The 24,745-nt window shown below is 35.1% G+C and overlaps 1 protein-coding gene across 17 annotated transcripts in view; it reads right to left on the bottom strand.

The window, feature by feature from the left end:
- The window catches only part of FRYL (FRY like transcription coactivator), a 282,923-nt gene that overhangs the window by 81,114 nt on the left and 177,064 nt on the right, over positions 1-24,745 (bottom strand). For 11 of the 17 annotated variants that reach the window (XR_007096393.1, XM_024453991.2, XM_011513683.4 and 8 more), the window contains 12 exons: positions 23,550-23,651; positions 20,359-20,403; positions 17,427-17,530; positions 17,120-17,228; positions 15,460-15,546; positions 12,189-12,360; positions 11,275-11,407; positions 8,151-8,258; positions 4,027-4,264; positions 2,950-3,135; positions 2,395-2,481; positions 503-771 (listed from right to left, as the gene is read on the bottom strand). Coding sequence is in view for 16 of the 17 variants with exons in the window: in XM_024453991.2 (XP_024309759.1) it covers positions 503-771; positions 2,395-2,481; positions 2,950-3,135; positions 4,027-4,264; positions 8,151-8,258; positions 11,275-11,407; positions 12,189-12,360; positions 15,460-15,546; positions 17,120-17,228; positions 17,427-17,530; positions 20,359-20,403; positions 23,550-23,651 (1,640 nt within the window). In the remaining variant the exon portion in view is untranslated. The remainder of the gene's footprint in view (positions 1-502; positions 772-2,394; positions 2,482-2,949; positions 3,136-4,026; positions 4,265-8,150; positions 8,259-11,274; positions 11,408-12,188; positions 12,361-15,459; positions 15,547-17,119; positions 17,229-17,426; positions 17,531-20,358; positions 20,404-23,549; positions 23,652-24,745) is intronic. The other 6 variants (XM_024453993.2, NM_015030.2, XM_047450098.1 and 3 more) reach the window with 1 other exon arrangement.

The following is a 24,745-nucleotide window of genomic DNA, read 5'->3' on the forward strand; positions in this document are numbered from 1 at the left end:
GTCAACTCTCCATTTCATCATCAGTTATTCCAAATCTTTACCAACATCCTCAAATCTCCTACTCAGTGTGTTATTACCACTCCCCACCAGAAGGTGGCCTTCCTTACACTGTCATCGGGAAAAGTAAGGCCACTGAGCTGAGTTTCGCTCTGCTTCTCACCCTTTATCTACAAACTTCTGTGTCTACATCCATACTCATCCTTAGATTCTTTCCCAATTTTTTCCCTTAACACAGATTCGATGGACACAACTATGTACCAAGTACAGTGTTATTAAGTAAATTAATAATTAAAATTTGGTGAGACTGTATTACATGAAAAGGATGAAGAAGTTATGAGACTATGTCCTTGACAACATTCTTCTCCCTCCTTAAGACATCAATGCAGTATCACATATTATTTATGGGCCTTCCAATCTGTAATACTTTTGAATTTTTCAAATAAATACATATGAAAGCTGACAGTCTATACATTTTTAAATTTACACTAGGAAAATAACTTACTTTATATCGACCTGAGGGGACAACAACTGAAGTCTTGTGTATGCAAACATCCAAGCATAGCTCACAGCTGTAGAGCAGTGTTTAGGAAGATTTTCTTGCTTTAAAAAACTGGAGAGACTTATAATCCATGGGTCTTGGCCTTGGGTCACATGTGCAAATATCCATATATGTGATGGACTAATCACATCAAACTGGTGGCTAATAGGAGAAGAGTTCCATTCTGCTAAAGTTTGTAAATCTATCGAGCTAGGGCAATAGAGCAAAGTAGTCTATATGGAGAGGAAAAAATTGATTATTACACATTTCAATAACTTTGAAATTTTACCATATAAATTGCTTTAAACTGAAAGTGGTGTATTAGTAGTTTCTAAAACAAGATAATATAAAGTCCATGGTAGGTTGAAGGGAGTAGAGAATTCCTGAAACTGCATGTAAAGTTTCTGTATGTGCATACATGTCTTTTTTTTGGAGAGGGATTCCACTGTTTTCATTATTCTCAAGAGGACTATAAACCAAAGAAGTTCAGGACCACTATTTAAGTAATTCTTAAATAAATATCCAAATTTCATCGTATACCAAAAGCTGCCAGAGAACTAAAGAGTGAACCATTAACTTTCATGTTGACCTGTATCTATGTATGTGTGGAACAGACTCAAAAATGAGCTCTTCTCCAGAGGTATATATTCTTAAATACTTGTTCAATATTTGAACTCTTATACTGAAGAGATAAACATTTATGTTCAAAGAAAAGTATATTAAGCACTGCTTTAGGCACAAGAAACAAGTCATCCATTACTCTCTTTTTGGAATAATTCATAATTTATGGTTAATATCTAAAACAAAATGTTTTGAATTGTATAGATCCTTTCATAAAATAACTAGAAGAGAGGCTTTTAAAGGTTCTTACCACAAATAAATGATAAACACATGAGATGATGGATACACTAACTACCCTGATTGGGTCATTATACAATATAGACATGTATGGAAACATCAAATTGCACCGCATAAATATGTACAATTGTATCTATTTAAAAATAAATAAAAATTAAAAATTAGTTTTTTAAAAAGTTTAGCATCATGGTAGCATCATGGCGGGGGGGAATTGTACAGATTTCTAATAATCTCTTAGGCTTATAAAACCTTATTACCTCCCTTGGCTACATATAACTCATGAATTATAAGAATCAGGTGTTATGCCGCAAGCTCTTAATGTTATGCATTAACCTCTTGACCATGTATTCTAAAATAGGAGGAAATATTTTTAAATAGTAAGGTTTTATAGCTATTCTTACATCAACTTTGGAATCTTAATATATGACCTTTTACCCAACCAAGACCAAGCAAGAAAGTTTGCATAAACTTTGTTAGTAATATGTTTGTGGACAAAGTGTTTCTCTCCATTTTAATGAGTCAAATTACATATGACATTGGTATAAAACACTATGTACTTAATCCACTATACTTAAACTTATGTGATACACAAAAAACAGTTGCCAAAAAAGCAGGGTGTAAGTTTTTGCTTTGAGTATCACCATTTTTTTCCCGTAGCATTTTCACAAGTATTTCTATCTCACGAATATTATATGCCATAATAAAGAGCAAACGGTAGCATAAAGATTCCATTTAACAGAAACTTCTTAGATTGGAAGGATGAGAATTTTACAAACATAAAATAATTTTTATTTCTATGTAGAAGAGTACTTAACCAAGTATAAATGAATGTCACTTTTTAAGTACTACTCTTAAGCATTTTCTACTTTTCAAAAATACTTTCTAACTCATTACATTTGTTAAGGAAGTTATTTTATGTATGCACATGTACATGTATACATATGTGTCTGTCATAAGTCTCAAAACAAGATTGGGTAGAATGAAGTCACTATAGTTACCTGATCAGCCCCAGTGAGATGTATGAAGCTCTCAAGAATGGATGGGCTTAGCCTGTCCATCACATCTATGGCTAATTCATCATCACCCTGTAAAAAAGACATCATATGTCTAAAAAAATTAGGAATGTTTAAGCAAAGTAGCCAAACCCAAGTAAACACTAAAAATTCACTTCAGCACTATTTTTTTTTTTTTTTTTTTGAGACGGAGTCTCGCTCTGTCACCCAGGCTGGAGTGCAGCAGCGCCATCTCGGCTCACTGCAAACTCCGCCTCCTGGGTTCACGCCATTCTCCTCAGCCTCCCGAGTAGCTGGACTACAGGCGCCCGCCACCACGCCCGGCTAATTTTTTTTTTATATTTTTAGTAGAGACCACCGTGTTAGCCAGGATGGTCTCGATCTCCTGATCTCGTGATCCGCCCGACTCGGCCTCCCAATTGAGAACGGTAGGTTAGTTTAGACCCATGGTAGTAACCTACCTACATGGGATAAGGATGGACAAAGAGATGGTTTTTAAGTACTTTCAATAGATAACTGAATGAAATACCTAAATCTTACCTTAGGTATTTCCAGAAGTGCAAATAAAGCCCGTATTTCTCTAAGGACACTGACGGCTAGTCTCCTAGTGGCAGGTCGACTGCTACAGAGAATGACAAGCGCAAAGCCTTCAACCACATGGAATACATTGGAATATGGGCTCCTTTCCAGAGGAGGGGGATGAGAAGCTCCATTAGCTACACCATGCTTGAAAAACAGAAGTTAAAAACAAAATATAAAAATATATGCACAGACATTTCCGAAAAACAGTTAATAAAAAATAAAGCAAATCATAGTGATTATGACTACCGGTCTGCCTCAGCTCAAGCAATGTAAATCGCATGTATTTTATAAAAATGGAATAGTGTGCACAGTGAAAACATTTCACTGGCAGTCTAAATATGAATTCTGTACCTAACTTCTACCATTCTCTGACTATTTTGTAACCTTGGAACTGACAGTTGCTCTTCATCTGATTTCTATGTGGAAAATGAGGGGATTGTAGTGTATCTTTCACACTCAGAGTGTGGACCAGCAGCCTGGCAATACCTGAGAGCTTCTAAGAAACTCCTGAAACTCTTTCTTAGGGCCCTGTTGATTTGCATGCTCATTAAAGGTTGAGAAGCTAGGGTGGCTTCAATGGCTCGGGTCTAAAATTTCAAGGTTCTATGATTTACACATTATCATAAATCAATGATTTGAGCATCTTTTATGGTTAAGGAGCACAGTTACTGTCTATGTGAAACAGGGACTGGTGACATGGATAAAACAATCAAATAACCCAAATGGAAGACTACCAAAAATTTATTGTACTGGCTTTAAATATATTGGAAACAACCTAAAAGTGAGCTGGAATTATCTCTAATTTCTATGCTCATTAAAAACCCAAAGAAGAAGATTAGAAAAGTTAGACACATAAACACTATATATTCACTACAGGAACTATGGGAAAGTTCAGTTTAAGGGATTAGGAACACATTGAGAGTGAATAGAACTAATAATACTTTTAGTGTTTGATAAAGTAAATCTGTATTAAAACCATTATTGGTCATTTAGCACTGACCACATACAAAAGGACAATAGAAAAGAATCTGGTACCTGAGTGTCCTGGTTTTTATTATGCATTTGGGCTGCTTGTTTCCACTGATTTATTAATTGTACCAACATCTTTACGGCATTATCAAGAAGTGTGGGATGGACATCAGTCACTTCACGAACAATAAAATAAACAAATCCTGAAAGAACATCCTCCCGCCAATCTGGAAAATCAAGCATTAGTGCCTGCAGAGTATTGAAAGCCAGAGCACGCAGTTCTTCATCCATATGAATTGTGAGCCTACCAAGAACAAAATTCCATTAGCAAACTTCAATACCTTTCAATTAGTTTTATCATCTGAAACTTAAAACTATGACCTTAAAATAAATGTCCTCTTAGTTGTTTTGTAAGAAATATGAAGATAGCAACCAATGATCACTTTTTCATGCTATATTCAACTTTATGCTAGTTTATACTCTCATTTGCTTAAATTCACATATGAATCTATTCCCATTAGTTGGTGTTTTTACTATAATCTGAATAATAAGTTTGATACAAATGACATTAGAATTCCATTTAAAATCCTTTAATCCTTAAAATACTGTATTGTTATCTTATAATCAATCAAAAATGATATCTAATCATATGCTATCTTAGCACTATCGTCACATTTATTTAATCTTTACTATCACTGGCAAGGACACGATTTATCTCAATCATTCTTTTTTTTTTTTTGAGACAGAATCTCGCTCTGTCACCCAGGCTGGAGTGCAGCGGCATGATCTCGGCTCATTGCAAGCACTGTCTTCTGGGTTCACGCCATTCTCCTGCCTCAGCCTCCCAAGTAGCTGGGAATGCAGGTGCCCGCCACCACACCCAGCTAATTTTTTGTATTTTTAGTAGAGACGGGGTTTCACCGTCTTAGCCAGGATGGTCTGGATCTCCTGACCTCATGATCTGCCCGCCTCGGCCTCCCAAAGTGCTGGGATTACGGGCGTGAGCCACCACTCAATTATTCTTTATACACACTGAAGTTACAGTTGAATACAGGATGGCTGATTGTGAAGAAGGATATACAACAAATGAAGATGGAATCAATGCAACACAATAATTATTGAAGGTCAGAATGAGAGTAAATTTAGGAGTAATATTATAAATGGTACATGCCTAGAAAAAAAAAAAATAAGGCTGAGCTCAGTGGCTCACACTTATAATCCCAGTACTTTGGGAGGCCAGGGCAGGTGAATCACTTGAGGTCGGGAGTTCGAGACCAGCCTGGCCAACATGATGAAATCCCGTCTCTATTAAAAATACAAAAACATTAACCAGGCGTGGTGGTGCACGCCTGTAATCCCAGCTACTCAGGAGGCCGAGGCAGGAGAATTGCTTGAACCCGGGAGGCAGAGGTTGCAATGAGCCGAGATTGTGCCACTGCACTCCAGCCTGGGCAACAGAGCAAGACATCATCTCAAAAAAAAAAGAAAAAAAAAAATGTGTTGACTCTGCACATAAGTTCCTAAAGAGAGTTTAAGTCTAAACAAATTAGGAGATGCTATATACAATCTGCTTTTAAATACATCAAAACAATATGGGGCTTTGAATATAATTTTAGTTACAGAAGTTTACCATAACATAAAAGAGAATGATAAACAAGAAATTCTTTTAAAAAAATGGCTACAGTAGTGGAAGCCACCATTATATAATAATATTATATGAATAAAGAGTTTCTGATTTGGGTCTGAAGAGAATTATGCTAGTAATTGACTACAAAGACAAATGTATCAGAGTTAGAAATAGTCTGAATGAATAAGGTAAGTACGTAATATTAAACACAATTATATGCTTGGGAAGCTGGAAAAATGGAGTTATCCACAACAGAGGCAGAAAGTTGTGTGGTTTAGGAGAAAGGAGATATAAGTATTCACCCTGCTGAACTCAGTTCTAGTCATCACGAAGCCAACTTTCAACTGACAATGAGACTAAAGAGAAGTATTATAGCTAGACAGACTGAGGAGTAAGCAACAAAGCAGCAGCAGTTCCATCAGCACATGAGAAATAAACAGGGTCAAATGAAGCATCTCTAGCCCAGTATTCTGTCTCTAATAGCGGCACCAGGAGATACAATATGGGAGAAGAGAGTGACAGTCCTCAATGATGTTGACTTTAAAGGTTATTTCAACATTCCTTAAATCCATGAATATGTAAATATCTATCTTACTCCTATCTGTGTGATACAGGGTATACATGTGTGAGTTAACTGCTCATTGTACAGAGCAGAAAACAATAAAGCTTGGTTAATTAAAGGCAGGGGAATTAATTAACTTTCCTTAGGGACAGGATACAGGTCTGCACATTTACAATGCACCTTTGTTTTGTTTGTTTGCTTCCTTTATGGTAAAGTAAATAAGATTTAGACAGCACAATTCCAAATGATAAGAAGAGAGGAGAGAATAGAATAGACCCTGGGATCTTCCTTTCCATTGAGGTAAATTATTAGTAAACAAATATCATAGGAGAAAGAAGCAAAGTGAACAGCAAAGCAAATTGTCATTCACTATTCAGCTGTCTGCTCTTTTACTAGGCTTTCCCATCCCTGGCCCTCATAGTTACAGTTTCATTTTGGTGGAAAAGATGGGAGATCTACTCTTGTGGATCAACATCCACAAAGATGTAGATGAGTTATGTTGAAATAGGAGGAGTAAGAGCAGAATTGAACAGTAGTTGTTTACTGCTCTCCCAAGGAATAGTATCATAAATAATTAATGTTTCTTATTTCCAATGCTGGCATGAACTTTGTAACTCTACAATCTAATTCACAAAAAAATTAGGAGACTGTGCGAAGGGAACAAATTTATATAATGCAAAGTAACCCCTTTCTTTCACAATCATCACAGGAGACATAAAATCTCTGATCACAACAGGCAACAGTTGAGGATAATGTAGTGCCAGGGTGTGTGAAAAGCTAGGGAAGTGGGGAGAAAGGATTGCTGGAACAGTCTTTAATTGTTTATTTATTATGAATTTAACTTACACCTAAGTGATAAATGCCCAGCCACAAGTAAACACCTTTCAACATAGTCAAATATTGCTGCTCTGCTATAGTCATTGTATTTGTTTTTTTCATCTAGGACAGGGGCTGGCAAACTGTGGCTCAAGGGCTAAATCCAGCCAGATGCTTATTGGAACGCAGTCATGCGCACTCTATTGTCTATGGCTGCTTTTGTACTATAATGGCAGAGATGAGTATGTGTTTGCTTGTTTTATTGATACACAACAGTTGTACATACTTTTGTGGTAGATGTGATAATCTAGTGCATTCAAATAATTTGTAAAGATCAAATCAGTGCAATGAGGATATCTATCACCATAAATACTTGTCTTTTCTTTATGTTAGAAACCTTTAAATTATTCCTTTCTAGCTATTTTGAAATGTACAACAGATTATTGTAAACTATAGTCACTCTACTGATCTATGAACACTAGGTCTTACTTCTATCTAACTGTATAATTGGACCCATTACAAAGATCATAATGATCTGCAAAACCCTAAAATACTATCTGGTACTTTCCAGAAAAATGTGCTGATCCCTTATCTAGGGAATCCCTAACTACATCAACAAAGCAGTTTTTCAACAGGCTATCGTCTCAACTTAGAATTAGGAGCTAGTATTTAAGTTTGGTTGTCAGGTTATTTACTCATTTTACAGAGCTATGACATGCCTAATAGAAGAGAGAGAAAAACTTAAATGCCACAGTTCTGCCATAGGGGGAAAAAAAAGCACAAATGAGACCTGATTACCACTAGAGATACTAAAGAAATGACTGTAAGAGTAAACACAATAATTAATTGCCTAACTGGGAATTATCATACACTGATAATGCCCATATGTTAAGGGATAATGTGTTACAGAAATCCCAGGAAAGAATACTAGATGGAAAAATAGGGAACTGAAAGATAGGATTTGTGGGGGGAATCTAGAAGAATTTGAGAAGTTAAAAATCAGTGAGGAAAATGTGTTTAACAACAACAAAAAAAGACAAAATGGAAGTTTAGAAAGTAAATCAGATAAAGGATTAGAAATGTCTTTAACATCGCCTTTTTAGTGATAACAGTAACAAAGGTATATTAGAAATATAAAGGAGCAGAAGACATAAAACAATATAGCAAACAGTAATTCTCATTTACCTTGCTAACAATTCAATCAGGTCAGTTCTGCTCATACCGTCAGGAATCAACCTTGGAATCGCAGCAATACAAGTTCTAAACAAATCAATCTTGGGTTTTCTTTCCCCCCTGAAAAATACAACAGGATTTAATAAGAAACATATTACATATGCTAGACAATGAAATCAAACTTGGAAAAATAACTACAGAAAGTGCGAGTCCTCCCCTAAAGTTCAATGTATTTAATATTTTAAAAATGCACATAAATCCTGTAGATAATTATTAGCCTATATATGGATAAAAGAATACAGAAATAATTCAAAATAAAACCAGCAAACAAAAAGGTTTTCAGTAACTAGACAACAAGCATTACAACCATTATTACATAACAAATATTTAAACAGATTATTTATAATTAATCTTATTAATATTTAAGATTAAATATTTAATATTTAGCCTCCCACAAATAATATTAAAATAAATAGCACTGATATCATTAAATAACTAAATACTGGTTATTTTGAGGGGCCTATAAAATTAGCCACATTGTTTTCACTTAGTATCTTCCACTAACAAAGGTCTTAGAAACATTCATCTCATACATAGGTGTTTATATTGTTTGTTCTTGTCCTGTATGTGACACACACACATAAATACACATACTTAAAATTTCTATGTAATAAAATGAGCCAAGTTTTTGAAAATCCTGGTACCTCTAGAGGCTTAATACAATTTAATTTTACTATATTTTCTTCTAGTTATTCAATAATTTTATTTATTTTAAATGTCTAACCTCTTAATATACTGGTTTTTATTCTGGTCTGTATTTGAAGGTGAGGCCTTTTAAATTTCTTTCATCTAAATTGTTCTTCAGTTGGCCTAATAAAATAATCCTTATGTAGAAAAGAATTTGGATATTCTCAGTGTTTTGGGTTTTATTTTTATTTTTTATTTTTTTTTTGAGATGGAGTTTCGCTCTTGTTGCCCAGACTGGAGTGCAATGGCGTGATCTCAGCTCACTGTAACCTCCGCCTCCCGGGTTCAGGCGATTCTCCTGCCTCAGCCTCCCGAGTAGCTGGGATTACAGGCGCCTGCCACCACGCCCAGCTAATTTTTTGTATTTTTAGTACAGATGGGGTTTCACCATGTTGGTCAGGCTGGTCTTGAACTCCTGACCTCAGGTGATACATACGCCTCGGCCTCCCAAAGTGCTGGGATTACAGGCATGAGTCACCGCGCCTGGCCTTGGGTATTTGTTATAGTGGCAATGGACTCACTACCTAGAGATTTCATATAGTCAGTCCTCTTTTTACATGGTTTCAAAATGCATGAATTTCAGTTACCACACTTTAGTTAAATAATACCAGTCCCCAAAAAGGCAGTTCAAATTTAAGCTACCATACATTAAGTAATGGCATAAACAAACTTTGCTTTCGCTCTTTGGTCCATAAAGCACCATGCACATCATAATCACTGTCATTTTCCATCAAGGCTGTCAGTGATTGGTCAAGGTGCATCTGTTATTCAGTTCATACACAGACAGCAAAGTGTGCAATGGTGTTGCCTCCTGGTCTCCCAGGATAACCCACATGACATTTTACAGAAATAGATAATCAAAAGAGGGTATTGGCTAACAAAGAGGAAGTACCACAAAGAAAGAAAAAGTAACATCACTGTGTAGTGTGTTCTTATAATTTTATGTTGCTTTGACACCCATATTAAATATAAGTTTGACTTTCTCATACCAGAAATAGGGCTCAGTCACCCTTGAGACAGTTTCCAGTTCTACACCCCACTCCATCCCCCAGTTCTTTAATGTGGTTGATTCAGGTATCTGTCTTACACAACTTCTTCCTGGTAATCACCTCCATATGGATACCTAGATGCAGGCTACTTGACTGGCCCCACTGACCTGCGTACCCCACATGGACTATGCAGATGTGCTGCAGTGACCACCTCTCAGGCACAGCATGATCTCCTGAACTCATGCGTGCTTGCTTTCAATCCACCAATTAGAATTCCCCATAGGTAACTGTTTGGAAAACACCCTCAACCCAAAAAAGGCATTGGCCCATGGGCCTCTTTCTCTCTCTCTCTACACATGCTTCCTGACCTCCATGAGTGTGGCCTCCACATGTGCAGTGTCCCCCACCCACCTGTAAGTAATAAAATCTTTATTGCTATCTTGCTTTTCTCCTAGTCACCGAGAGGGTGCTCTCTATCTCAAAGATCCTAAATTAAAGCACACTGAAATAGAATAGAAAGTTAATGCAGTTACAGAAGAAATACACTATATAGGTGTCAGAGGAACTGGGTGAAAGCAAAAACTTACTAAATGAGGGAAGTGGTTGTGGTGAAAAACAAGATTTCCCAGAGGAAGTAACATTGGCAAAAAACTTCACATTAAAGAAACTCTCAGAGATATTAGCATATAGTAGTACATAATAATTGTATATTAAATAAATTGAGATTAAATACCAAATTTGGTATTCTAAGACCTATAATGCAAATATTAATATCCAGAAGAATCTCCTCCCTTACAGAGAATATGTAGATGTTTTCTAGCAAATAAAGTAAGCTATTGCCATAACATACAGTTTCCTGAGGAGGAAGTCCCTAACAATAAGAAAAAAAGATGCAGAGATGACAAATAATGACAAGGCCCTTGGGGTGGGGTGGGATGAGGTAGTGTTTCGAAAAAAACTGCTCATATGTTATTCCTCTCTATGCCCCTTAGTTCCTAGGAGTCAAAAATAATCAGAGTTCAGATTTTCAGGATTTTTTTTTTTTTTTTTTAAACTAGGGCTTTGGCAGTGAAAGCATTTATTTGACATAATAAACCAATCATGCCCACATACATCCGGGGTACCTAGGATTCATATTTTGCTCACAGAGTAAGTGTAGGGCCTTGTCATTGACAACACACCAGACTGGGATCTAGAGTGAGTTTTGCTATCTATACCAGTTTGACAGCACTTTAAGGAATAAAACTGAGTGTGTGGAAGGAATCACTGTATTGAAAACTGCAGCAGATAGAAACATGGAAGAACTCCAAAGACCAAGTAAGGAGACAGGTAAGCAAGAACCATCCACACTGTCTTAGGAAAACTGAAATAGCAATGAAGGCACATAATTTACTACATACGTAATCATGTCTTCAGGCTCCTTATTAGACATCTGCACACTGGTCATACACATTGGTCTCCCAACTTCTTTGTCCAAATGTCTGAGGATGCTATCTAATGCTTTTCTTACTTGAGGATAGTAAACTGACATTCCTAGGGGAAAAAACTTCACAGTTATAAAATATCTGAAATTAGATAAAGAATACTTACTTTCTGTAATAAAAGCCTATTAATCTTTAAATGATTAGCTTATTGTTGCCACAAAAGGGGTTTCAACTGTGACATATTCTTCTCCCTGATGATCAGCTTCAGTATATTGGACTAATTGGAGAAATTATGTGAAAATTATGCAGAGGACTAAAACTAAGTTGAAGAAAGGACAGAATGCAGTGAATAGGATCCTGTGATAAAGATTTAACTGGAAAACTCTTAACATGAAGACTCATGACTATTATCAAAAAAACGTATTCACTGTGGGCTGAGCATGGTGGCTCACGTCTGTAATCCCAGCACTTTGGGAGGCTGAGGCGAGTGAAATCACTTGGGGTCAGGAGTTCAAGACCAGCCTGGTCAAGGTGGCAAAACCCCATCTCTACTAAAAATACAAAAATTAGCCAGGTGTGGTGATGCACGCCTGTGGTCCCAGCGACTTGGGAGGCTGAGGCATGAAAATCACTTGAACTCAGGAGGTAGAGCTTACAGTCAGCCAAGACTGCACCATGCCCTCCAGCCTGGGCAACAAAGTGAGACTCTGTCTCAAAAACAAAAACAAAAACAAAAAACAAAAAAAACCCAGAAGTATTCATTTTGTATGGCTGTATATACTAGAAAAACCATATTAGGCAAATTTATATACATTTTATATTTGATCAGACTTTTATAAAAGAATATGAAACTGTATTACAAAGCAACATTTAATTTCAATTAAACTAACCTATGACTTTTGCTTCTTCATCTGTCAAGGTTTTATTGAGAAATATTTTCTTTACACGAAGAGTATTTCCTGAGGGAAGAATAACTCCTGTTGTTGGCATGGGTGGTTCACCATCTTTCTGCTGCAAACTGTCTGCTATTACAAGGAAGACTCTGAGACCTATGTTCATTCTCTTCAAAGGAAAAAAATGCAAAAGGAAGAGATGAGTATCATAAATTACCTTTTTTGCATGTTAGAAATATTTCATCAGTAACATCAGAGTTGGGGGGTGGAAGGAAGGAAGATAGAAGGAACACTAACCTTTCTGTCCAACATTTTTAACTAGCACAGGCATTAGAATTTGCTTTAATATCAAATTCCCAAATGCCACTCACTCACTTCTGAGGTCGACCAGCTTCCTTATTGTCTCTAAGGCTTATAGCAATCCTCTTCCTCAACTCTCCTATCCTTCTATGGTCCCGTCCCCTCCCCTTTCTAGGCAAATGACTTGTCTTCTACTTCACAGAAGAAAAAAAATCACCAACTTTCCTCAATCTCTCAATTACAAATCACACTAATTTACTTATACCTGCACCTCTTCTCCCTCCCTTTTGCTCTTGGTATAGTGAGGGAGTGACAGTCTTCTTAGTTGTTGGAATCCCATCTGTTCTTGCATGTTTGGAAACATTACAGCACCAATTACATACACGTTTTCTTTCTTGCATCTTCAACATTTTCCTTTCAACTGAATATATCCCCTTTCTCTTAAATATACTGCTATCTTAATGGAAGAAACTTTCCCCAAATACTTCCCTGAAGCCATTCTCACTCATCAGTTACCATATTGCTCAAAACAGTGGGCCTATTTATAGTATGCTACTTGATTTCCCAGCAACATGGACAAGGTCAAGCACCCTTTCCCTCCTGAAACACTCCCTTCCTTTGGTATCTATGTTCCACTTCTGGCTGTGTCATCTTTATCTGCATTTCAGGTTTGGCCTCCCTGACCTGGGTATTAAATGTTAGACTGCTTCAAGGCAACGTTCTCCTGGGCTGCCTTCTCCTATCATCATGTATTACCTCCCAAAACAACTGCATATACTTACATGGCTTCATTTACCACCCATACCAGATCACCCACAAATTTTAAGCCTGGCCTCTCTCTGAACTCAGACCCTCAGACCCATCTGACATCTCTTACTTGGATGCCTCTACCTGGATGCCTCATGTTAGACATGTTCAAACCAAATGCATGACCTTGCCCCCAGATTTGATTCCTTCTTAATGTTTTTTTCTCAGTGAATGCTCCTCTATCTGCACCACTACAATCCAAGCCCAAGCTGTCATTATCTCTGATCTACACCAGTGGTCTCTCAAGTGGGGTACACGCATCCCAGTGGGTATGCAAGGTAGTTCAATGGAATACGGGAAGAAAATAAAGCTCTTATATATATATATATATATATATATATATATATTTTATCTAAGTAAGATTAAAAGTTTAAGCTTCACTCTTCTTTATATACGACATAGTACTGGTGCCCTCCCTTAGTCTAAGTATCAGATAGTCACATGTCACATAGTCAAAGACGACACCTTGAAAGACGCAGAAAAGCTCCACAATGTAGCTTCACTTATACATTCTTTCAGTGTATTGCAATTTGCATGTATTTGATTAAATGGGCTAATGGATAATTTTATCTAGCTTTAACTACATGAGCTCTTACAAAAGTCCTTGAAAAGAAAATACAGATCCAAGAAAAGAAAATACAGATCCAAGATAATCCTAACAAAGTAAACCTAATAAATAACAACCACCTCCCCCACAGAAAAAAACCCAGCAGAACTGATTTTTTTTACTCATACCTAGTATGAGAACTTCAGGAAGAAAAAAACTTACTTTCAGAAATAAATTTATTCAATAGAGTGAATATTTTCTTAAAATGGATGTTCAAGAAAATATCTTTTGTTTCATAATTTTTGTTGCTGGAAACCATTTTTGTCGGTAGAAACCAAAAAATATATAAATAAGAGCTTTATTTTTTTCCTGTATTCCAGTGAACTACCTTCTACACCCACTGGGATACATGTACCCCCAACAAGTTAAGTATGTCAGCTATACAAACAATCATGTTTGCCCACTTCCAAAATCTGGAAATAATTATTAAACTATCTTAAAAATATTACAAATGAAAAGCTGCATTATCTTTCCAACTCATTTGTTAACCACATAAACACATACCTTAGGATTTGACTATGTATAGGATCAAGATAGTAATTTAAAATAAATAAGAAAATAAACAGATAACACCTATTTTGCCTTTTTATATCCTCAAATGTAATTAGATTCCAACAAAGAATTAATTTATGAAATATTTTGAAAAATCCTGAAAATCTAATGTCTAAAGAATGAATTAGAGTTTACTAGTGAATAATGAGACCATGGAAGCAGGATATAACATTCACTTTTTTAATGTTGATTTTTTTTGGCATGGGGGAAACAAATTTTTGTTTTTTCTATAACACCTAGAACAGTGCCTGGCACATTTCAGGTGCTCAATAAATGTTGAATGAATGAGATTTATTGAAGAACACCTTAAATATAAACAATGTGAAGTAAAAAAAAAAACAACCAAAAAAAAAAAAACCTGGGCTCATTATAACTTCCAGGAGCCAGCTGAGCTGACTAACCTGATAAAATTTTCCTTTCTTTATTCATTTTTTGAGACAGAGTTTCGCTCTTATTGCCCAGGCTGGAGTGCAATGGCTTGATCTCGACTCACCGCAACCTCTGCCTCCCAGGTTCAAGCGATTCTCCTGCCTCAGCCTCCCTAGTAGCTGGGATTACAGGCATGTGCCACCACTCCCGGCTAATTTTGTATTTTTAGGAGAGATGGGGTTTCTCCATGTTGGGGTCAGGCTGGTCTCAAACTGCCAGCCTCAGGTGATCTGCCAGCCTCAGGTGATCTGCCCGCCTCAGCCTCCCAAAGTGCTGGGATTACAGGCATGAGCCACCGTGCCCGGCCTATTTATTATTTTCTACCACGCTTAAACACCATTATTTCACTCCAGCCTGGGCAACAAGAGCAAAACTCTGTCTCAAACAAACAAACAAACAAACACTATTATTAAACCATTCGGCCAGCTATTAGAAAGGTTAAGTAACTTGTCCTGGATCACAGCTACTATTAGAAGTAGAGCTGGGATTTGAACCTAAGAGTTCTGATTCCAGAAATCATGCTCTTAAAAAAAAAATCTAGGATTTTATATTATTACATTATAATTTTTTTACCTCTGGATTAATGGTGAAAGTTTTAGTAGATTTTCCAACACTGAGAAGATCAAATATTATTTCTTTCATTGCAAAATCCAAGCGTTCCTTAAAAAAAAAAAAATCCTTATAACTTGCTACTATGTGTTAGGTATCATGCTAAGAATTATAAATATAATATACAATGACAACAAGACAGGTTTGTGCCCTTAAAAAGTTCACAGCTGAACAGAAGAAAAATACATATGAATTAAGGTCAAAATACATGATTATAAGTATATTATTTAATTATCAAATGATTTGTTTAATACCCAAACCAACAGAATAAAGTTTTAAACATTCATTCACCAAAATCATATTAAAATCAAAGTGAAAGAATTCCCAGGGTGACAATGAAAGGAAGTCCCAAGACAATAGCCAGGCAGCAGGCCTAGACAGCAGTGAGTTCATACTGGGTCAGGAAGAATGGGGCTCTAGGAAGGAAATCTCCCGGGGGGTGGGGGGAAGTTAACTAATTAGATTAACTGCTGTTTGAAAGGAGTTTTATAATTCTGGTGGAGTGCTGGAGGAAGGTAACTAATTCAAGGGAGTGGGTACAATTCTGGAAAAAAAGAAGAGATTCAACCTAATGTCACAAGTTTTTTGAACACTTGATCTAAAGCACAATTTGCTTTTATTAATCTTACTGATACCCTTATACTTATCGAATTACCATTACTTTTGTACTCTAGTAAATAACAATGTACTAATTCTATTTAAATATTCTTTATTTCTTCACTGTCAAAAATAATTGAATTATGGATCATCTAGATTGTTACAGTTTCAGTTGAAAGAGAATGCAATCAATATTCTGGAATCACAGCATTTTCCCATGTTGACGAGATAACCTTACCTATGTTTCTCCAAGATGGATGTCCCAAAAGGAAATGTGACCAAAACCTTGTATTGGCTCATTAACACCCATTTAATCCCCCTCTAATAATCCTTCCTTTACTGCAGAGGCTAGAAAGCTAAACTTGTACTTCCCAGGATCCCATTTAACAAAAAGCTTGAGGATATAATTTAAACCCTGCCAAGTGATACACTCATGTGAGTCTCTTTGGGAACTGGGATATGTAAAGAGGAGGAGGAAGACAGGGAGAAATGAATCTATTTTACTGGTGAGGACCGTAGCAGATGCAGCATGATTCTGAAGCATACCCACATGTGGTGACTTCCTTGTCTGGTGGCTGTTTTATTTTGGCCAAGGTAGCAGTTTCCTCTTTGTCGTTCAGACTAGAATTCATTTCTTCAGCCCTACTATAAATTCTCTGAGCTATCTATATTCCTTTCGAGGTCCCTTTGGGTTTAACTAGCTACAGTGGAATCTATTATCAGTACCTAAGAATCTAGATTAATGTAGACTATGAAAATAATTTTCTAAGAAATCCTTGAAGATACTCAGAAGGTAATTAGTAAATGCACTAACATTAGGATTATGAGATATGTTGTTTATCCCTCTTCAATTCAAAGTGCTGCCACCTGTGGGTTTTCTTTCCAAGTGTGTAGATTAATGAAATAAACTTATTCAATGTTGTATTACTATGTTTTTAGATGCATAAAAAATTTCAAAGCTCCAAGTGATTACAATAGATTACTCTAACAATTTATATACATACATACTATGAGATGAAGCACTCACCTGAGCAATGAACTGAATAATCTTCACAAATATATTGAGAGGTGTGTCACGAGGAACCACACTTCGTGAGCCTTTTGGAAAAAGTGCTGACACTATGCTCATAAGACGACTACAGGGAAAAAGATCTAGTCATAGTGAGATCATAACATCAACAGCATATTAGCAAAAAATTCTTCCTATTCTTCATAATATATTGACAGAATTCATATTCCACCCACAAAGTATAATGTTTACTAAAATTCCCAATAGTGTGTTTTTTTAAAAACAAGAATTTATTTTTAATGCACTTTAAAGCAAAGATACTCACCTTTGAGTTACAGTGTTGCTTTCACATTTTATTCTAATTACATAAACCCACAATAATCTATACAAAGATTCCAGTGCAACTCGAGACATTTTCGGATCTTTATTCTGTTTTAAAACAAAAGAGAATAAACTTATTATAATACTTGCAATCACTTAACAGCAAACATATTCTCTGTCAACAACTAAAAGCCAATCTTTTTTGTATTCAGTCTAAAATAGGTTTAAATACCAGGTACATATTTGGTATAGGGTAAATATATGGCTCAAAAGTAACCATAAATTTGGAAATTGAGCCCTTTCTTACACTTTCAAAATGCTAAAATTTTATTTACTAAATTTTACTTATTAAATAAAATTATACTAGTATTTCTAAGAATTCTAAAATTATACAAACAAACTTACTTGATGATGAACAGTTCACACTCCAATACTGACATAATGACTGAAAAAGGATCACTCATTTTTGGCAGAATTCATTTGTAGCCCATATATAGTTAAAATTCAGAACACCAAATGGTATTACAGTCATTTGCATTTACGAAATAATGCAAAATATTATGAAGTGTATATCCTTACGAGTGAATAGGGAGTTAAGAGCGTGGACTCTAAAACTGGGAAAAACAGGGACTAAATCCAAGCTCCATCCTTGGGCATTGTTATATGATTCTGAGTCACAATTTCCTCATCTCTAAAATGGAGAACATATGGTACCTACCTCAGAGGTAAAGTTAATATCTGTAAAGCACTTGGAACAGTACCTGGCATGTATTAAACGTTCATTGACTATTAAGTGTTATAATTTTTATTTAGAATAAGGACATTATTTAAATTATTATTATTTAGAATCAGTTATTCCATTTCAATTACAATTTGATCAGCAAACTTTTTCTTCATTCTAGCTGTTATAAAAAATAAAGTTCTCAAATGACCAATAATTTTGAAATGTAGCTAATAATCTCCTTTTTTTTTTTTTACGGAGAAACTCTTTATACATCCGTTGATTAGTTTTAGGATGTACTGATTGTTGTGAATTTACATTTTAGATTTTTGCACATCTATTTGGATAAAGATTTGATATAATTAAAAATGGAGGATCAGTTACTGTGCTCATTAGACTCGCAGTATCAATCCCTGTCTCCACTGCCAGATCCATAATGATCCCAAATTTCAAATATACTCCCCCAGCAATTTCCAATTATGTTTGTTAGTAATGTAACTAAAGTAACATATAATGTATACTACAAATATAACAACCAAGCATTTTGTAGTAATGTCTTTGAGAAAACATAATTTTCTTTTCTATCATTTAAATATAAGATATCAGATGTCAAAATAGTTCAGCCAGGAGTTAGGGAGGTAGAGAGAAATGAATAGGCAAAGCATGAAGGATTTTTAGGGCAGTGAAAATACTCTGCATGATACTATAATGGTAGATACATGTCATTATACATTTGTCCAAACCCATAGAATGTACAACACACCAAGAGTAAACTCTAATGTAAGCTGTGGGCTTTGTGTGATAAAGATGTGTCAATGTATGTTTACCAGTTTTAACAAATGTATCACTCTGAAGGGGGATGCTGATTACGGGGGAAGCTAGGTATGAGTGTGGGTAGGGAAATTTACCCACAGGAAATCTCGGTACCCTCCTCTCAATTTTACTGTGAACCTAAAACTGCTCTAAAAAAAATAAAGTCTTAAATAAGTCCCATTAGTTTTTAGGTACACATGAAATAACACTTTCATATTGTTAAATTGTATTTTCAAAATATTATTAAAAATTATACATTAAAGATATTTAAGTCCTATTCTACATAAAAACTGTTCTCATATGAATGATTAAATATAAAAGTATTTGGATTATCTTAAGTGATGAGGTATCTGGCATGAAAAAACTTGATTTTCAAACAAAGCTGGCATTCACGCAATGACCAAAAAGGCAAGGTGAGAAGTGACAAAAATCAATTATTATTTTTTCAGCTGCTACAATGCTGCTATATGTCTGAATAATAAAATCATCCTAAATTTATCTGAGCTTTAAACAAAGATATTCAATCTAATTTGAACAATTACACAAATAAAAATCTAATGAACTTAATATAAAACAAAATTTTGGTATGTCAGTCAAATATAGTCTTTGGCAACAATCATTTTAATGTTTCTTCTCTTTTTTTCTACTGTGAACTAAAAAAATGATTTGTTTAAAACCAAAATCAGTAAAGCCAGGCATGGTGGTGCATGCCTGTAGTCTCAGCTTGAACTCAGGAGTTGGAGTCTAGCCTGGGCTAGTCAGACCCTCTCTCTGAAAAAATTAAAACAAAAAACAAAAAACAAACCCAAATCAATAGGATAAACTTTTAAAAATTAATTTGTCAGTACTGTATTCCATTAACTTAAAGAGTAGACTTGGATTCTTTGTAACTCAAAGGATAAATGCTTGAGGGGATGAATACCCATTCTCCATGGTGTGCTTACTTCACAGTGCATGCCTGTATCAAAACATCTCATGTATCCCATAAATATATACATCTACTATGTACCCACAAAAATTAAAAATAACAGCAACAACAACAACAAACTATATTCAAAATCTAAGCTACTGTCTCCTTAATTTCACTGGAAATTTTTAAAACATTTTCATTTATAACAGCTAGATAATGTATGTTAAACAGAATATTTTAAAATTGTGACTTTTGGTGAAGAATCAGCATTCAGTGTCAGTTCTATTTCTTAAATTCATCTTCTTGGGGCCACACTGATATTAAACCTTCTGAAGAATGTTTCTGCTGTGTGCTACTCTTCTCTTAAAATACTAGAAGCAGGTTGGAATAAATACATTAGACATGCAATGCAACAATGGGAAAAGGAAAAACAAATGCCACGCTTAAAGGAAATAAAGCAGTATTTTACTTTGTAATGTCGACACAACTCACCTGGAGTGTTTCTATTTGTTTTCTGATACTGTTGTTAGATGGCATCTAAATAAAGCAATGTGAGACAGCAAACATAAACATGAGATGCAGCACATGCATGTTAGATGAAAATAAGCACAAAACAAGACAGCTCTTCACCAAGGTCTCTATTTAGAAGAAATTTGAAATGTCCAAGACAGTGGCCAGAAACACTAAGAAAAAAAAAAAATCTCACGATTTGGGCATCATGTAAGATACACCTATAATATTCCAACTGAGAGAAAACAAAGTTTTAACTACCTAATTTTTCTTAGAATTCTTCTTAAAGCACTGTATTTCAGTTCAACTTTAAATTTTTAAATGAATGTAAGTATAGATTGTTGAAAAAAATCTCCAAATTATTTTCTATGATAACTACTCTTATTATTCACCTATCTCTCTTAATAATTCTCCAGAAACTTTAAAATCACTTTTCACACAAGCACCTAAATTGATATAGATATAGGAATGGGAGAATACCAAATTCTGTTTGGGACAAAAATTAAAGATTTAACTTTTCAGTGAAAATAACGTGACACTGTCACAAGCTATTTATGGGCATATAGAGATAAAGCTCATTTTTCATGGTCATCAACTTTAAAAACTAGTATGGTAATTTTTTAAAACTGTGCAATATCATAAAGTGCCTTGAAATTCATCATATTTATTCTTATGACTAGAGAGTAATGCCTTTTTAATATCCTCAAATTATTGCTAACATGTTTTCTTAAAATATTCAGTGCTTATATCCAACAACATTCCTTATACTACCTTCAGAAGTAAAATGGTGGACTAGAAGAGCAAGAGCTATGGAACTATGTGAATATGGACACAAATCCATGCTGGCTCCCGAAACACGGGTTACTTGTTTATCTTCTTTCAGCCTCATGTACAGTAAAAATCAAATGAGATTCTGTACTTAGAGGATGTAGCATCCAATAAAAAGTAATAAAAACCAGTCATAAGAAGTATGGGTCTAGGCTGGGAGCAGTGGTTCACACCTGTAATTCCAGCACTTTGGGAGGCTGAGGCGGGTGAATAACTTGAGGTCAGGAGTTTGAGACCAGCCTGGCCAATATGGTGAAACCCCGTCTGTACTAAAAATAAAAAATCAGCCGGCGGTGGTGGCAGATGCCTGTAATCCCAGCTACTCAGTAGGGTGAGGCAGGAGAATCGCTTGAGTCCGGGAGGTGAAGCCTGCAGTGAGCCGAGATCATTCCACTGCACTCCAGCCTGGGTGACAGAGCGAGACTTCATCTCAAAAAAAAAAAGGTATAGGTCTAATAAAAGGAAATTGTTTAGGTTTTTAGTATCAAGAGATTAAATGGATCTCAAAATAGTTTAGGTAAGGCCTTTATCTTGGATCAATTTTCCCTATACATAAAATAAATAACTGTTACAACAGATAACTAGCATAGTTTTTCCTTCAAGGCTCAACTCCTTACCTCAACTATGCAGAGCAGCCACATTATCTAAGACTTAATAAATAGGAGCCAATTCATAAAATTTCTGCTGAATAGAGCCTTAATGTAAGTTAAGGGTTAATGGCCAAGACAATTATATTCCAAATACTCATGCTAAGTGGCTCTTATCTCCTTTAGCCTGGCAGATTGACATAGCCATTAATGAAAATGAACAATATGCCAGAAATATTTAACAGGAGGTAAGGGTTCAAAGAAAACAGAGCATTTAAATGAAAGCCTTAAGACAAAAAAAAGTTAAGGTACTGCGAAGTATTGCAAATATGTTAGGTGAAACGTATATATATAAAAATTCCAACAAGCAACAGAAAAGTATGAACTGTCATGAAACAAAGCAGCCTTCCAGAAACATTTAAATGCATATCTTAAAAATATTTTAATGAACGTATGAAAAATCATACTATCCAGAAAAATGATCAATTCTCTTTTGGTCCCTATATCTGTACAAATTACCAAAAATAAGAACAGAAATAAGTATAATGTAATTAATTAAATAAAATTTATTTCCTGGTTGCATGACATAAAGAGTTCAATCAGTTTGATTTGGTCCTGGGAATTTTCATAAATAGTCAAATAAGGCATATAAATTCTCATCCAAACATGAGTAATATCAACGTTTATCTAGAAGGAAAATAGACAAAAACATTTCTCAAAGTAGTATATATTCCGTATACCTAAGAAACTGAGGCAGTTTTGAAAATTATACATAAAATCATGAAAAAGACGTACAGGATAACATCCAGTGGATCATTCCTGAAATATGAAAGAAGATCCAGTCCTATTCCTACAATAGCACAACGAGCTGCATACCCAGAGACAAGTCACTTTCTCTATCTGCCTCGGTTCCATTATCTTCAAAGTATAAGGTTTTCAGTCTCAAGTCTAACTTAGAGGAATACCAGGAAATGGAATGTCATGTCTGCAATATTTCTATAACTTGCAAGCAAATATTCAAATAGGCTCATCTAAGTATATATCAAAAGAATATTCAAATCAAGCATTCGCATGACATGCAGCTGAAGAATATTCCCACACTGTCAGAATTGTGTTCCTACCCAAAGAAGAAAAGAGGATCCTGCTAGCAGAGCATCCTGGGAAGAAAATGATCCTTCTATCTCTCACAGTTTTGTTTTCAGGACTAAGAGAGGCTGAATATGGATGTGCCAAATAGTGTTAATGACAAGTACCCTTTCATTCAAGTCAGAATCATTTCAGGAGCTTTTACATCTGTGCAGATCCAGTACCAACTTTTAGATATGGCCGGGCATACTTAAATGTGATTTTAGTGATATTATCAAAGCTTTTTCTCATATTGTTCAGACTTAAACCAACATTACTGATTTTCTCAAAAGACAAAATAAGTATCTAGAAGGTTTTGTGAGATTAATACTCTATAATTCTAAAAGAATTAACAAATATTCCTAGATTTAAGATAATATAAATATCACTAAAAATGTACAATAATCTTGCATTCATTAGGACAAACTAAATTTTCAATCAAAAGTTTACTCATATCTATACATGATTCCCTATAGAAGAAATACAGTAGGTATAAGAAAAGGAATGTGGCAAAGTGTTGCTATTCAAGTATACCAATAGTAACAAAAGTTTCATTATGCACTGTTCAATTTATATGCATAAACAAAATATACCAGTCAGTATTTACATATCAGAAGTGTGATTACATCTTACCTTTAAATGTGACAAACAGTTCTGTAGGAAAATATGCCAGTTATTTAAAAAAAATTGTTTCTGACTGACACATAAAAGGCAGGTAATTAGTGGATATAAAGCCTATAGGAGACGGGGAAAAGACAGAATTAACATTTTTCATCGAAAAGCACTGGACTTTTAAATTTTATATTTCATTTATTCTCATAAGCAAGGAAACAAATCTTTTAAGCAGTTTTCCAATTCGTAATAAGAAATATAATCTCATAGAATAATCTAACACAGAAAGATAAAGAGTAAATTTTCTACGAGGAAAATTCCTTGACTGATCATACCTCTCTGAGTTAGAATATGCTATTAGTTCTCCCTCAACCCATTAGCCTCTCATCCATTTTGTGGTTATGACTAGTCCCTGGGATCAGATGACAGATGGCATTAAAATGTTAGCTTTCTGTTTGTCAAATGTGTAACTTCACGATGGCTACATTAGGTACTCTAAGCCTCACTTTCCAAACACATAAAGTAGAGGACAATAATCACAAATATCTTATAGGGTTGTGAAGCTTAAAGTAAGAAAAAAAAAAGTACAAAGTACTTAGTTCAATGCCTGGCACAATCCATGTTTAGAATTACTGTATCTCTAGTTTAGAAGGTCAAATATTTCACCAATTCTCCAAACTTTCTCCAAGCTACGTAAAAGTTATGTGAAATAGACAGGTAGAAAAAAATGCCTTCAATCTCTGACTAGAAAAGACGTAATTAGACAGAAAACAGCTGCTAAAATCACTTTATGACAGTGATCCCCTGAGGTTACAACATATTTTTACTGTACCTTCTCGTGTTTAGATACACAAATATTATTCTGTTACAACTGCCCACAGTACAGTAACATGCTGTACAGGTTTGTAGTCTGGGAGCAATAAGCTATACCATATAGCCTAGGTGTGTAGTAGGCTATACTATTTAGGTTTGTGTAAGTACATTCAATGATGTTTGCACAATGAAATAGCCTAACGACACATTTCTTAGAACATATTTCCATCATTAAGCAATGCATGACTACCTAGAAGGAAGTCTGAACAACTCAACAAATGCAGAGCTAGTAAAATTAAGAACAGAACATTTAAATAGAGCCACGCAAAACATACGTATGTAAAACTTGCCCTTGTATTGCACTTCAGGGATTTTACAATTTCAGATTTTACCATTCTCTTAAA

Source organism: Homo sapiens, chromosome 4 (assembly GCF_000001405.40).
Source record: "Homo sapiens chromosome 4, GRCh38.p14 Primary Assembly".
In the NCBI taxonomy this organism is placed as follows: Eukaryota; Metazoa; Chordata; class Mammalia; order Primates; family Hominidae; genus Homo; species Homo sapiens.